The 16875-nt window shown below is 40.2% G+C and overlaps 1 protein-coding gene across 19 annotated transcripts in view, besides 1 other annotated feature; it reads left to right on the top strand.

Moving 5' to 3' along the window:
- The window catches only part of ENOX2 (ecto-NOX disulfide-thiol exchanger 2), a 280885-nt gene that overhangs the window by 169626 nt on the left and 94384 nt on the right, over positions 1-16875 (top strand). Inside the window, exon 1 of one of the 19 annotated variants that reach the window (XM_047441772.1) lies at positions 3684-3706. The exons of 17 other annotated variants lie outside the window; for them this stretch is intronic. The gene's annotated coding sequence lies outside the window, so the exon portion shown is untranslated. Of the gene's footprint in view, positions 1-3683; positions 3707-13092; positions 13116-16875 lie in introns of those variants that run through there. One more of the 19 variants, XM_047441773.1, reaches the window with a different exon arrangement.
- Positions 14046-14547: an enhancer, noted in NCBI's record as "H3K4me1 hESC enhancer chrX:129853011-129853512 (GRCh37/hg19 assembly coordinates)". NCBI's record gives its function as "activates a minimal SCP1, AML or CMV promoter by ChIP-STARR-seq in naive H9 embryonic stem cells {active_cell/tissue: H9 hESC(naive)}" and the evidence as "EXISTENCE:reporter gene assay evidence [ECO:0000049][PMID:30033119]".

Here is a 16875-nt window from a genome sequence, read left to right as displayed (position 1 = left end):
CCATTCACCTGTTGAGAGCATCGGGATTCTCCCAGTTTTTTGCTATTATAAATAAAGTTATATACATTTATGTACAAGTTTTTGTGTGAACTTAAGTCTTCATTTCTCTGGGATAAATGTTCAGGAGTGTAATTGTGGGGTCATTTGGTAGTTACATATTTCTTTAAGAAACAGCCAAACTTTTCCAGAATCCTAGCCAGCATTTGGTGTTGTCACTTTAAAAAAAAAAAAAAGCCATTCTAACAGGTATATATTGATCTCTCATTATGGTTTTGATTTGCATTTCCCTAATGATTAGTGATGTTGAGCATTTTTTTCACATAGCTATTGGCCATTTGTGTGTCTTCTTTGGAGAAATGTCTGTTCAAGTCCTTAACTTGTTTTTAAAATTAGGCTGTTAAGTTTCTTTGTTATTGAGTTGTAGGAGTTCCTTATATATTTTAGAGATTAACCCTTTGTCAGATATATGATTTATAAATATTTTATCCTATTCCATAGGTTGACTTTTCAGTCTGTTGAGTTTTTCCTTTGCTGTACAGAAACTTTTTAGTTTGATGTAGACCCACTTGTTTATATTTGTTTTGTTACACGTGCTTTGGTGTCATATACATGAAATCATTGCCTAGTCGAATGTCAAGAAGCTTTCCCCCTGTTTTCATCTAGGAGTTTTACATTTCAGGTCCTACATTTAAGTCTAATTCATTTTTAGTTGATTTTTGTGTATGGTGTAAAATAAGTGTCCAATTGTACTCTTTTGCATGTGGATATCCAGTTCTTCCAGCACTGTTTGTTAAAGAGACTGTACTTTCCCTGTTGCGTATTTTTGGTGCTCTTGTTGAAGATCAATTAACTGTACGTGTGTGTGTGTGTGTGTGTGTGTGTGTGAATGGATTTATTTCTGGGATCTCCATTCTGTGCCATTGGTCTACATATCTATCTTTAAGCCAGTACCATACTGTTTTGATTACTTCGACTTTGTAATAGTTTTTAAATCAGGAAATGTGATGCTTCCAGCTTTCTTCTTTCTCAATATTGATTTGGCTATTTGTGATCTTATGGATTTCCCTATGAATTGCAAAATTGTTCTTCCTATTTCTGTGAAAATAAAATGTCACTGGGGTTTTGATAGGGCTTGCATTGAATCTGTAGATCTCTTTGGGTAGTATGAACATCTTAACAATATTAAGTCTTCAATCCATGAACATGGAATGTCTTTTCATTTGTTTGTGTCTTCTTTAATTACTTTTGTCAATGTTTTGTAGTTTTCATTATGCAAGTCTTTTACCTCTTTATTTAGGTTTATTACTAAGTATTTTATTCTCCTTCGTGCTATTATTAATAGGAATTGTTTTCATAATTTCTCTTTCAGATAGTTCAGTGTTAGTGTATAGAAATGCAACTGATTTTTCTATATTGATTTCGTTTCCTGCAATTTTACTATATTTGTTTATTAGTTCTAACCATTTTCTTAATGGAGTCTTTGGGATTTTCTATATATAAAATCATGTCCTGTGGAAACAGGGATAATTTACCTTTTGCTTTCCTATTTGGATGCTTATTTCGTTTTCTTGCCTAATTGCTCTGGCTAGTATTTCCAGTAGTATGTTGAATAGAAGTGGTGAAAGTGGGCCTCTTTACCTTCTTCCTGATCTTAGGAGGAAAAGCTTTCAGTTTTTCACTATTGAGTGTGATATAGTTGTGGGCTTGTCACATATGACCTTTATTATGCTGAGGTCCTTTCCTTCTATTTCCAGTTTGTTGAGAGTTTTTATCAAAAAAGGGTGTTGAATTTTATCAGATACTTTTTCTGCACCCATTAAGACAATCATGTGATTTTTATTCTTATTCTCTCAATGTCATATTAATTATTTTTTGTATGTTGAACCATCCTTGTATCCTAGGGATAAATCCCATTTGATCATGATGTGTGATCTTTTTAATAGAATTCCGTTGAATTTGGTTCATTAGTATTTGTTAAATTTGTTGAAATTTTTTGCATCTGTATTCTTCAGGGATACTGTGTTTCATTTTGAGTATGACTTAGATCAAGTTTCTCCTCCTCCTTTTCCCAACTGTGGATGTCCAGTTGCTCCAGTAATATTTTGTTAAAAACTATTGAATTGGTTTTGCACCTTTGTCAAAAATCAATTGAGACTATTTGTATGGCTCCCATCTTTTGTTACCCCTGGCAACACCTCCTCTATCCACATCTCCAAAACTAGCAAAAGAGAATAAGGCAACAGAAGATGTTATGGCTTTATGCCTTTTATAAATAAAACTATAGAAATAATAATAGCTAACACATATGGAGTTTTTGCTATGTACCGTAAACTTTATGCACCTTATTTTACTTAGTCCTTAAAACATTCTATAATGCACATACTATTATTACCATTTGGCACATGAGAAAACTAATTCAGAGAGATTAAGTACCTTGCTCATTGATAGGGGGAATCTGATAATCAAACCCAGGTCTTGATCCTTAGGCCTGTAAACCAAAAATAAAATTCCAGTGCCCCCTTCAACCATCTGAATGTATCCCTCCTCAGCCAGGGCACCCTAAAATTTAACCTGAAATACAGGTTCAGGCCATGACAGTAGTAGGGGTTGGACATGCCTCATTATACCCCTCCAGCATTAACATCAACACAGACCTTAAGTCTGATAAGAAACAGTTACAGTCTATTCTCTCTAACCTAGGTCTCCACAACTCCTTATCATAACCCAGACATTCCTTTCTATTGATAACTTTTTCAACCAATTGCCAATCAGAATATATTTAAATCTACCTGTGACCTGGAAGCCCCCCATTCCCCCCATCCCACCCTCTGCCCCCCACCACTTCGAGTTGTCCTGCCCTTCCAGATCAAACCAATGTCAATCTTGCATGTATTGATTGATGTATTATGTCTCCCTAAAATGTATAAAAGCAAGCTGTTCCCTGACCACCTTCAGCACATGCCATCAGGACCTCCTGAAGCTGTGTCACAGGTGCATCCTTAACCTTGGCAAAGGATCTTTCTAAATTGATTGAGACTTGTCTCAGATGCTTTTTGATTTACAGGCCCATCTTAAACACTAGGCTTCTCCTCCTGTCAGTACCAGTTCTTTATGTGCCAGACCATCCAACCACCCTGGGTAAAAACTAGTGCTCTAATCTACAATCATTATAATGGCAGCAACATAGGACTGGTTTCTGTTCTGAACATGAAGGCAGGTCTGCATTGGTTCACAGCAACTCCTGGTTAATATCAATGGTCTTCTTATTCTTTAGGAAGTTCTAACTGGAGCAACAAATTTCTACATGTCACTTCCACCTGTCCCCACCAGCTACTGCAGTATAAAACATCAGACTGCTCTGAAACAATGCTCCTTTTCCCATTCTATTCTTGGTTATATGATCCCTCTGTGTATATACATGTGCGTATATGTGGAGGACAGAGTGACAAAGGGAAGGCTAGTGAAGGCATCTAAGAACTTGGGCCAGAACCAAAATTTGGAGGAGCAAACACAGGAAGGGAAACAGAGACTATAGTTGGACCGATTTTCTGAAACTTTAATTGACTGGTTTTCTAGCAGGAGAATCGTACCCTGTGGCTCAGACTTCTCTCTTTCACCTGTGTTGATTGGGACCTTCACCCACACATGAACACACAATACCTTGGATGATCTGGAGGACCACGTGGAAGCCTCTCAAAGACCATAGGTATTCCAGGCCACTTTGGCTAAACATTCTTTATCGAAAGCTGCTATGGCCTCCAATGCTGTTGTTATTGCTATGAGGGTTCTAGCACATGGGAAGTGTATGTTAGAAACTTTCTAGTGATTGAGCAGGCCATCTGATTAGCTGTGACGCTTTTAGTATTTCTGAATTTGTTGTGAGCCAATGCTTCATAAATATCACAAAGATGAATTTGTATTATGATAGGGAGCATTTTAGTTGATGATCAGACCTTGAAATTTACGTTTCCATATTATCTCCTATTTAACTACTTGCCTTCCATTTCTTAGTCATTGAGCTTTGGAGAGACAGTATTATACTTTGAGCTGGTTGGAGGCAGGAAGCAAAAAAAATAGTCACGGTAGAAAGGTAGTAGTTAATTAACAACAAGTGTTTTGGAAAATATTTTACTCAAATTCAAAAGGAACTCAGCTGCATAAATCCATGAGTAATATAAAAATTATGATGGTATTCTGCACTTGTGAAAATCATTTCTCTTAGTGATATTTGGAAAACATCCTGATGTGCAAACTCTAAACCCCAAACTTCTACCCTGAGGATTCAGAAGCTTTTTCCAGAATTCATGAATTTTATGATGTCTGAAAATTTCTATACATATGTCCATGGAAAAGCAAAATTTTAAGCAAAGAAAACATTTGATCTCTTGCAGAGGAGGGGATATAACCTTGAGCTTTGAGTAAGGGTTGTATGGGTAGTCATAGAGGTATTGAGTACAATATTGGTCATTATATTAAAGATGGTAGTCATTTGAAGGCTATCATCACAAGTAGTCACTTCCCCCTTGGAATACCTGGGCTATAGAGCTTTAAGCACTGTTTAAACTCTGAATGATCATGAGTCCTTTGAGTCTCACAATCCACGCAGTCCACAGACTTCAGTTTCCTTTCCTATCTAACAGGTTCTTTCCTCCTCATTGAAAAAAATTGAGCAAGTGAAAGGCCACACGTGTTCTAACTCATTTTTGTATATTAAAAAGCAAGACAGAGAAGTCATCTTTTACCTCCTGAAAAAGAAAATGCTCTTTTCTCTTTGGACCTTGTCTCTAGGAAAAGTCCATCCTCCCTACCTACGAATGTAGGTATCCCTAGAAGTATCCCTTTGCCCTAGTCATCACCTTACAGAATGTTGAGATGCAGGAAGAGGAATTAACCCTATATGTCTGGAAAACATCAGGAGAGAGAAATCACACAGTAATTTGAACAGAAAAATTTTAATATAAATATTAACTATAACAGGGGATTGGCCAGTAAGAAGTAAAAACAACTACAAAGAATATAGGACTAACAAATATAAGGAGCAGCCCCTACACCTAGAGCTGAACTAGGGCACCCAGGAGAGAACCTTTTCCCCAGGGCTGAGATCCATATCTTGCAGGACAAGGGCACAGTCATGACTCATTAAATAGCAGAGAAATTGCTGTGGTACTACATCAGCAGAACTTGCTGGAATTCTGCCCTGTGGAACTTCTGGGAAATCCACCCTCTATAGTGTCAGGGAAAGCTGGTCACAGAGAGGTATCTCACAATAGGCACCCCACCATGAAACATCCTGAGGGATGGGTACTGGGAGAAGCTGCTGGGCACTGCTGATTATACTACCAGAGCTGCATGCTTGAAAAATTGCACATGCTGCAGGAACCTGGTGCTTGGGGAGCTGTGTGTGCTGTGGGAACTGGGCCCTGGGGAAGCTGAAAGCCTGAACTACAGGAACCTGCCAAGTGAGCACACCTAGCACACCAGCACACAGGACCCACAAAGAAAAGCCCCTTCCTCCTGAAATGTCTCCCTAACGCCCTCTACTGACAAAGCTTAACATTGTGCCAGCTGGCAAAGGAAAAATATATAAAGGGCCCAGAACCATTTTCACAGAGCAGGCAACAAGGGTGAATTTGGAGCTAAGAGGTATTAGATTGATAACTAGCACACCTACATAGCTCAGGTAATAGTCCTCAGGTAATAGTAACTCTCTAATAGTGTTATTGCCTAGCCCTAGCTCGTATTCTGAGTGATCTCTCTTCCTCTTATAATTTGGAGATGAGGGGATAGAAATCAGTTGCTTCTTGCCTCATTGTCTTTTATCACCTCTAACTACATCCTGCTCAACACCAGCCCCAAGAGAAAACAGAAGATGTGATTCCAGCTCAACTCTGCAACCTTTCCTGCTCTGACTACCGAGTCTAAGTTACCTTCAACTCTTTGTCTTCCATCTACCTTCACTGTACCATTTGAGATGGGGACAAACATTTGAAGACTGTCTAAAATATGTCAGATTGCAAAAGAGGTCACAGAGTTTTGTGGTTAAGAGCATGGGCTTTGGGGTCAGGCTTGGATTAGAATTCTCATTCTACCACTTACTGCCTGTATGATCTTGGACAAGTTGCTTAATCACGTTGAACCTTCATCTCTTCAACTGTAATTGGAGATAATCACACCCACAACTCAAGAATGGTATGAGGATTTGGCGTTAGTAATATATCAAACACAAAGCCTGATACCTAGGGCCAAAAGAAAGAAATCTGACTTCAAATCTTGACCCCATCTTTTACTATTTCTGAAGCCTCTGAGCAATTTACTTAAACTTCTGTGGCTCGGTTTGCTCCCCCATAAAATAAGAATATTAGTAATACCTGTCTCATAATGTTGTTGTGAGGATTAAATGCATAGTGCTTATTTTAGTAGTTAACACAGAGGAGGTGTTCAAAAAGTGGAAGCTATATAAAGAGGTATGCCCATTAGGCATTGTGCTATATACTTTACATCTGTTCATTTACTTACTGTCTTATTCCTGTTGTCTTCCCTTCACCCAGCCTCACCTCCCTACTCCAGTGCTTCTGCCTACAAAAGGAATACAAGCAATATTTTTTGACCATCTGACTGCCTGCTGCTCCAGTGAGCAAACCTAGACCACGAGCCAGGCCCTCTTCAGCCCAGGGGCCCTCTTGAGAAAGAGTCAGAGAGCTTAGTTACTCATTCTCACTTATGACAAAAGATCTCTATCCCTTGGAAGAGAACTAATTTCCTTAGTAGTTACACAATTGCTTCTTTGAAGTTGGTCACATACCAAAGGGAGAAAGCCAACTCACAGACCTCTAAATCATCGTAAAATCGAACTCTCATTCTACTTCCAGTCATTAGCAAGAGACCAGGAGGCAAAGGGAAGTGAGACTAAATCTTGTTGAAAAGAGCATGTTTTTCTAATGTCAGCACGATATGCCCCTGGCAGAGTGCAGGCCAAGTAACACATCCAAATTCCTCCTTTATCGGAAAAACTTCAGGTACTTCACAAGCAGCCATTTGTACTCGTATATATGTTTGGCTCATCTATTGCATAAGTGAAATCCCCAGGTAAGACATCTTAACCTTTGTATTTGAAACTGATGCAACTTAGCAGGAAGCAGCAGTATGCGTGAAAATTGAAGAAGCCTGTAACTGTCTGGTCAGTCTCTTCCACTGGGCATGCATATCAGGGTGATACTGTGTATCCCCAGCCATTACTTTCACTGTGGATTCCATTGTCATCAATCCTACCCATGGAGCCTCTGCTTTACAAGGAAATCTCATAAGGGAAAGGGCTTTGCTTTGTTGGAGAGCTCTTTATATTGCACTTGAAGAGAGGTAAAGGAGTTGTTCCTGGGATGTTTCCTTGGAACTCGCAAATAAAGACTTGTGGGTTCTGCCTCTGAGCTACTATGTAACATGCCATCTGAAACTGTTTGTTCATGTGTATTCCAAGTTCTTTTGTTTGTCTAGCGTCCAACCTGAGAGATACTCCAGACAGTAAGGTATATACGATGTTCCTGGTCTTTTCTTTTAAACATATATTTGTGTGAATTCCTACTTTGTCAAATGATGTTATCACTAAGCAAGAATCTAGGATTTGACTTCCCAGCACTAGGGTATGATGAACACTTCATGCTCAATGTTGTTGCTTAGACATTCCATCTAGACAGAAATTATTATTCCAGTTCACCCCTTTACCCAGCCTGTGCCTAAGGAGCTTTGCAACTGGTGTCTACTCACAATAAGCTACTGTTGCTGTAGCTATCACCTCTAGAGATGCAGGAATTACTCACCTTGGCAGTTTCCCATATGTCCTATCCAGCTTCCTGAGAAATTTCACTAGTAATCCTGCAAACAAAACTTAACACTAGATGGCAAAGACAGCCTTACGTGAACCAAGGTCTTGGAACTCAGTCAGTCTCCCAGCAGATAAGTATTTGCTATTGATTGTAACACAGCCCCATTGAATAGACATGTGCAGGTGTGGAAAGAGAACAAGATAACTACATGCAGCCAGCCCATGCATGTTGAGGTGGGGTAGGTCTGTCACCCAGGGACCCGGATATGGGACTAGAATAAAAAAATGATTGTTAAAGGGCACAAAAACATGGCACTTTTATTTCTGTTGCTTCTAATGGTTTGAAGGGAGAGCTCCATGTTATCCTGCCTCTGCCATTTTACAAAATTTTTTGCTTTCTTCACTCAAGCAGAAGACAGCAAGGAGAGCTGCTCATTCTACTTCTCAGCTATCCATGCTCGACTCAATTATTGCAAGGACTGGAAAAGCAATAGATAGTGGGACCTGTTTTTAGGCTCAAAAATGACTGGGAAGCAATTTTAAATAATAGTTTCTTTAAAGAAAAAAAACATGTTTAACAGATTAAAAAGTGATTAGAAGTTCATATCCCTGGGAAGACAGAATAAGGGGAGTATGTTAATATTTCTATAGGAAAGGTTTTTGCATTCGGGTTAGTATAAGAGATAACTTGGATCACAAAGATTTCCTTGAACCCTGAGGCAGATTTTTTAAGGAGACTGCAGCTATGGGTAGGAGGATCTGCTTACTTTTGCTGCCTGTTCTGGTGAAAAGTAGGTCTCTTCAGGCTGATAGTCAGCCAATATGCACTGGACAGTCATACCAGTTTAAAGATACTGAAAAACTTCTGTACCAGTTGGTAAATAAGCACTGTCAGGAGCCCTCTAAGTGATCACCTGTCACCCAGGCCACCCTGATCCCTCTAGTATCACCTAGACTTCCCCACAGTGTAATAGTCATGGATTGACCCCTGGCTAAGACATCTTAACCCAGGTAACACATCTTAACCTTTGTGTTTGAAACTGATGCAACTTAGCAGGAGGCAGAAGTAGGCATGAAAATGGAGAAGCCTGTAACTGTCTAGTCAGTCTCTTCCAATAGCTTGGAGGCAGAACCCACCACAAGTCTTTATTTGCAAGTTCCAAGGAAATACCCCAGAAACAACTCCTTTACCTCTCTTCAACTGCAATATAAAGAGCTCTCTAACAAAGCAAAGTCCTTTCCCTTGTGAGATTTCCTTGCAAAGCACAGGCTCCATGGGTAGGATTGATGCCTGTGGAATCCACAGTGAAAATAGTGGCTGGAGATTCACAGCATCGCTCCGACATACATGCCCACATGGCACAGCAAGAGGGTCTCCCAGGCTCTGCTCCAGTACTAAGGTTTTGCATACAGTTCTGTTTGGTTGCCCATGCCATGCTGGTGTTTGAATATTTTGAACATCATTCCTGATTCCCCGATATTATCTCTATGACTTAAGGCCATTTTTATAGGCAGAATCAACCAGCTCACCAGAGGATCCCTAGTAGATTTTATTGCTCTCATATAGGCTGAGTTCAGTTGGCAAAAGAAAAAAATTAGTATGGAAGACATTAGCAAGATTAACTTGAGGACAATTTTTATAAAAGTTAAGGAAAGCCTTTCCACTTTAAAAAATACCAACAAATAGTGTGAACTGCAATTATTGTCAGGTGTTACAATACTGTCAGCAGATTGAAGAAGACAAAAACTGATAGAGTTATGTTGGCTATTTGTACATTCACTATGCCATATCCTGCGGGGGGACGGGTAATTTGACAGTATATTAGGCGTCATCCCTGCCATCAAAGTTTTTATTGATACATCTCAGCAGGGAAAATAGCAAGGGTGCCCGGTTAGCTATTAATACAAGGTAAAATGCTAATAGGCATTTAGAGAGTCACATTAGTGCTACGTATCTCTTAGAGAGGTACAGAGTCAGAATACTTTCTATGGTACAAGAGAACATCCGGAGTGGAAAATGTTCAGTTCCTGGGAAACAAAATGGGGAGGGGTCCCTTAGACAAAACCAGATTATCCTTGTGATGTTAAATTAGTACTGATTCTGCAATGAAGAGTAATATTTAATGCTACAAACCCTGACTTAAAGAAAAACGTACTGAAAACAGAATGATGCAGAACAGATCATTGCTGGATTCCTTCTGCTCCTTTGATGGAAATAAATTGGATAATTTTGATTCCTTTATCATCCTTTATGAATTATATTTCCTAGTAGAATGCAAATATCATTGGTAAAGAAAGAAAAGCAGAGATGAATCATCATAATGAATGTTCAAATAAAGAACATCAGATTCAGAAAGCTACATTACTATATTGCCTAAATAAAACCAACCAGGATTTCCCACTGCAAACAGTCTTAGGCTTTTGTGTATAACATGCTTGTTTAAGTGCAGTGACTGGAACACTGATTCCCCCTGGGTAGTGCTGTAGTTGGTAGTACTGTCGCAAAGGCTTTCTGGAAACCCAACAAAGTTCTTCTGTTGAGGTTCTCTTAGCCACTTCGAGTAAAATGCATCCCTCCTGATTCATTGGTATCCATTAGCTTTCTTTGTTTCTGAATAACAATGTCCTGCCCCAGACTTCCTACCACCAACTGGAATGGGAAGGGTAATGCAGAAGGATGGCATGTCTTGTACCATACCCAACCCACTCACCCTCCATCCTCACCTTGGGATCTCTGGCACTTGCCAAGTGACTTCGCTGTATGGGAAGCTCATAGGGATTGAAGTTGCACCTGTGGGTGTAAGGAAGGGTCTCTCTAGTTGTCAGACAGCAGATTCAGCTTACTCTTTTGCCTCATTCACTGAATCAGTTCTCATTGAGTACCTACTACATACCAAGTGTAGCCCCTTATCTTTATTCCTAGAAGTCTATCTGCCTTTCCTTTCCCCACGTGGTTTGGCGAATTCACTGGTAATTCCAGATATGCATCAACCTCAATTCTCTCCTCTGATGAGCTTAGGTGGAATTTAATAATCCCCGCTAAATTGTCCTGTGACTCTGTCATATGAATAAAGGCTATGGACTCTAGGTTAGATTGTAAGCATCAAATTAATTTTACTGCAAAGGTCAGGCTGCTCTCCTGGCATTCTGTTGTGCTTGAAGGTTAGTAACTACATGCTTAACCAAAACCTTCCTTTCTGAGCTGTATTCAAGACAGATTTCAAGATACAGCCAGATTGAAAACCAGATATTTAGAGATAAAAGGTTGCGTACTCTGACCTCCAGGAAATAGCAAGCAGCTGCAGACATTCCATGTGTATATACAATACATCACCATTTCTAGGAGATGATGGGCATTAAGCTTAGCACCTCTTGCTCCCAAAGCAAATGTCTGCTCATCTTTTCTACCAAGCTGCTCATGTCAGAATAAAGAAATATTTCTTCCCAAATGACTTCTAAGCTTGCTTCTCTGAGAAATGCTGCCCCTGGGGAAGCAAGGCCTATCACCGAAGTTTGGCTGAAAAAAGACATATTCATATTCAGATAATGGCAGACACCTCCATCCTGGTTCCCTTTAACCTTCATCTGTCTTCCTAATTTACCACAGGCTCTCTCGTTCCAGCTCACCCCCTTTGACCAACCCTGTTGTGAGTTCATGCGCTCCTGATGTATGTGTCTGATATACTTATCAGTTCAAGTTCTACAAGTAACAGTCATGTAATAATGTGCCATTTATACTCCTGGAAAAATCCAAAGATGGACTCTTACACTATAAAGTCGCATCTAGATTATTATTAGGGTTAAAATTCCTTGAATCTATAGGGGCTGGGATCACAAACAGACTTCTTATAGCATGATAGTTCCTTTAGGCATAATTGTTGTCTTTTTCAAATGTCTGAAAAAGAGATAGCAATTGCCAATTTTCTGTTCCAGAGAATAGGTCCTATAGAAAGAAATGCAATCAGCTTGCAATTCTGAATTTTATTATTCACAATGGGAAATTTACAAGTACGTCACCAGAAGCTCTGTAGGCTGTTGCTCATTACAAAGATCAGTTTCACCTGTGACAGTAACAGTGCTGCCCCACTGTGTCCAGGACAGTGTGTGTGTGCAGTGGTAGAGTTCTCTAAAGCCATCCACACCCTCTGCCCGAGTCTCCTATAGCCAGTAATGTTTGCAAGACAAGGCAAAGTGAGGTCTGTAACCTGTGGCTGTGGAGCAGAGGAGAATGGGAAGTGAAGTTGTCTCAAGAAGGCATCATCTGGGACACTGTGAACCCTAGCAAAGATGCTAAAATGATCCAAAATGCTTTTTGAAGGAAAGTTCAAGCCCTCCCTGCAGATATACTATGAGTGGAATAACACTCCATCTGGACAGGCACACAAGTCAAATGCCTTAATTTCTGAAACAGAATGACAGCTTGACCACTTTGTATGTCTTAATAGCTAAAATATGTGACTCGCTCTCTTCAGCCCACAACACAGATTATCTGCCTTCTGTGTGCTCACTAGAGCACTCAATCTTAAATCAGTTGCCCTCTAGTTCTTAGATGTATATAGGGACATGCCAACCAAGAGTACTTGCCTGAAAAGCACTGTACCCAGGGAAGCAGGCCCTGTCGGTGGAGTTTGGTTCAAAAATGACACGATCGTATTCAGATAATGGCAGACACCTCCCTCCTGGTTCCCTTTAACGACATCTGTCCTTCTGATTTACCTCAGTTTCCTCCTGTTCATCTCCCTTGGTCACCCCTGTTGTGAGTGCATTTACTGCTGATGGAAATGTCTAATATGCTTGGCAGTGTAAGTCTTACTGGTAACATTCATGCGGGAATGTGCCGACATCCCATCTTTTCCTCTAACCAGTATGCCAAACCAGACTTGTCGCTCTATACTTGGGACTTCTGTAGAGGCTTGTTTGGTCTTTATTTTGTGTGTGAATTTGTCTACACCCAACCACAAGTAGATGCTAAGCTCTCTGAGGAAAGAGCTTCAGTCTTCTCAGAGTCCTCTGCTTCTCCTGTGTCCCTCTCAGCCATTAACAAATAGCACAACAGGGGCTCAGTCAGTATCTGTTAGTTCATTTGTAACTAGAAAATATTACCCCTGGTGGATTATACTGTTTCTGAACTGAGATGTACTCTTTTTTTCTTCTCAGAAGTAAGCTTTTACTCTAAGCTTGTATTGGACTCTGCCAGAAGTAAACATGTCTTCTGTGGGTCTGTGCTGCAAGCTACAATCAGATTTTCTAAATGCAGTGGCTTAAGGATTATATGCTTTTCACTACAGCCGAGAGGGTGAGTAAAAACCCTGACCCATTGCATTCCATAGGTGCTGCCATCATGGAAAGAGCAGGCTGAAGGCCTTTGCTTCCTTACCTTAGCTCCCTTTATAACCCAAATTCTTTGATGGGCCAGGAGGGCTGCCTCTGCTGATTTTCACTTAACCTCTCCATGCCTCCCTGTTTTCCTCAGAAAAGCCCATCAATATCGACCTGCTTTCCAAGGATGTTTGAGGATGTAATACTGATAAGAAAACACTCTCTATGAGAGAATATTGATGACAGTTGTTTTGTAGCCACAAAGGGAGAGGGCACTTGGCAGTAATTGGGGGCCATGTTTAGCCACCAAGCCACCCATTATCGTTAGTACTCAGATTGATTCTAATGCATCATAATAATGCAGCTTTTAATCCACATGTAGAGGGGTAATTTATTGTCAGGTGGTGATTGTTAGTAATAACAAGCTGTTTGAACATATTCAGAACATAGTTGTACACATCTCTTTTGTTTCTCTTCCTTCCTTTGTTTGCAAGTCTAATTTTTACCCTTTTGCCTATCCTATTTTCTCCTTTTAACTGCATATTATAGTATTGTTTTTATTCTTTTTAAAGATAGAAGCTTAGTATCCCCATGAGCAGCTAGAACACAGGACCCTAATTTGGAAAAGGAGTTTAAGTTGCCAAGTCCAATTTGAGAATGGTCGTGGATTTTATCACTCAGCTTTATTAATGGACCTCATTCCCACTGTATTGCATTTCTTTCCCTAATGCATTTGTATAAAAGCTCTTGCCTCTTCCATTAACCCCTTTGGCTGGTGTTAACTCATTCCCAGGCATGTGTTGCCATAGCTGCAGCCGCCCCTCAGCTGGAGCCCCCATGCTAGCCCCTTCAGAGGCCATGTGGGGTTTGCCTGCTTGTTCCAGGCGTCAGCTGTTAGGCGGAGGGCAAGAGCCTTACAACCTGAAAGGTCAAACAGCCTTTCGTATGTGTTTAAGCCCTGTCTGGTTTTTTTTTTTTTTTTTTTCTTAGCAGCAGATGGGCATGTGGCTGTCCAGCCTCAAGCTGGGAAACGTGTGGGAACATTACCAGCATTCTTTCTCTCACACCCCCTCCTGGGCACCTAAGCAGGTAGCCTAACTCTATATTCAAAAAGATGATCAATATTTCCCCCTCTGTTGTTTGAATCTCTTCCTTCAACACCTGAGGCAGCTGTGGGGAATTGTGCACAACTTGCGTCTGTTCACCAAAATAATTGCCAGCAGCTTTATGGAGCGTCTCTTGTGTGTATTTTTGCGCATTTACAGATTTGGTTATATCGTTTGCAGAATGGAAACGTGGCTGTCCACTGCTTACTCTCATTCTCATAGATCTTCAAGGAGAGACCCTTTAAAAAACAGAATGGAAATGACATGCAAATGGTTATGTTAATAGCACACAGGCAAAAGTCAGGACCTTCAGAAGGTTCCTCAGGCGCAAACTGATCAGGTGATGAGCACATCTTGCATACATTTCGATTTGAGTTACCAACCTGCACTGTCCTATGAGAAATGATTAGGAAGAGAAAATGTTGCATTCCTATAATGTGTGACTACTTTCTGCCCTGGGCTCCGGCACTGACGTAGACCAGAGCAAACACAACTCCCTCACATGCAGATTGGGCAGGTACAGTGGGATTTGGGGAAGATGTTTGAAGTCGGGGGATGCGGGGGGAAGCTTCCACATGGACCAGTAATAAAGCATCGGAAAAGAAGGTTTAATTTTATCTGTGATATGCTGGCTTTACCAGGCAGCTGGCAAGGATAAATCTGTGGATTAGCTCCAAACTTAGAAAATTCATAACCATTTAGTTGTTTACCTTGACTTTAATAGAACTGATGTCATCAACAGCAGCAGAACAGCAACATCGTTTACTCACCTTTATATAGTATTTTATAGCTTTCAAAATACTTTTCCAATTAATATCCCTTGTTTATCTCATCAACCCTGTAAGATCAGTATTACTGTTTTCTACATTTTTTGTGATGAAGGAACCCAGGCCCAGAAATATTAAGTGACTCGCCTAAGTTACATAGCCAGCAAATAGCATGGTCTTCTGGCTCCAGACCCCTGAGGTACCCATGCTAGGCAATACTCACAGCTCCGTCACCCTGCTCTGTAGCCTGCTGCCACCTCCATATTCCCTAATCACCTCTGAACTTCTGGGTAAACGAATTAGGGCCCATGCAGGGATTCATTTAAAGAACAAAAGGAAAGTCACCATGTTACAAAATAATTACTGCCTTTACATACGGATTCACTGCTAACTGATATCTTTGGCATTCATGTTTGTTCCTAGATCACTAACTACTCCTCTAGCTGAGTGGAGGAGGGGTGGTGAGGGAGACACAGAAAGGAAGGTAGATAGAGAAAGAGAGAGAGAAGGAGGAAGAGAGGGAGGGGAGGGAGAGGGAAACGGTGGGGCAGGAGTATGAAAGAAAACAGCACAGAAAGCTCTTGGCAATTAAAGAATCCTTTAGAAATTAAGATAAAACATTTTTGAAGAGACGGTATCAACATATGTAGTAGAATTATAAAGATAAGCAAGGAATTATTAACACAAAATTGAAAACGGTGGTTATCTTTCAGGGGAGATGGAAGCGATTAGGGAGGGGTACATGGTGGACTTTAAAGGTAATAGTGATATTCTTTTTCTTAAACTGCATGTTGGGCATACAAATTTCATTGCATTGTTGTTGTTTATACTTTACGCTTGTATCTTATAAATTTTCCTGTGTACCTACTCAATATGTAATTTTAAAAATTAGAAAAAGACACTGTGAGTCAGTGGAAAAAAATAGGATTTGATATACAGAAATTAGCTTTACATTTTCAAGGAAGATAGCCACTCTTGAAAACTAGGTGCACTTTGGTAGAAACCTAGCCAGTTGGCTCTGACAGTGTCTCCCAGTGACATATGAGTTAGTTTCTCAAGAAGTGGTGATTTGCAAGGAGGGCATGCTTTCCCAGAATTTTGCTGGGGTCTTTGAGTATTTCAGCTGCCTTGCCCATCACCTCACCTCCTTTCTGACAGTGAACTTCTAGCTTCTTTAACAGATAAGAACAGTGGCATGGTCACTTGGGAATTTGAAGTTAAGTGCTTGAACTGTAACCATGGATTTATGGGCTGTTATCCAAAGACTTATTATCTTTATGGTTTTCCTTGGTGTTGGAACTGACAGAGAATGCAATGAACTGGTGGGGTTGTGTACTTATTTTTATCACCCGTTGGTTTCTCTCTGGCCAATCTAGTCACACTGTAAGCACAGGCTGTCAGGAATTACAGCTTTTCTTCCATGTGGAAATAAGTGGATAAGCAAATACTCCCAGCCTGATTTTCTTTCCAATTCATTATTTACAGGGAATTCACCCTTTGTAATCATTTTCAAATCAAATTTGCTCTGCCAATCCCTGTAAGGTTTACTCTGGAGATCATCACTAGCCTAGACGCCTTTTATTTTTTAACAGCTTATGTCTCCTCCATGTTAATGCCAATAAACACACACACACACCACACAAATAGATTAAAGGTGATGTCACTAGTGGCCTGGAGATTCACTCAGGAAGAAAATTTAAGTTACAGCAGAAATGGATAAAAGAAAGTTAATAACTCACATGTGTTTGCTATTTGGACTACTGTTGCTGTATTAAAATATTCAGAAGAGCTATTGAATTAAACGTGGCAAAATATATCATATACAGGATAGATTTCAGGAAAGGCACTATTATTAATACTGTCC

This window comes from Homo sapiens, chromosome X, assembly GCF_000001405.40.
Source record: "Homo sapiens chromosome X, GRCh38.p14 Primary Assembly".
NCBI classification, from domain to species: Eukaryota; Metazoa; Chordata; class Mammalia; order Primates; family Hominidae; genus Homo; species Homo sapiens.
The sequence above is the reverse complement of the archived record's forward strand: the minus strand, read 5'-3'. Positions and strand labels throughout refer to the sequence as shown.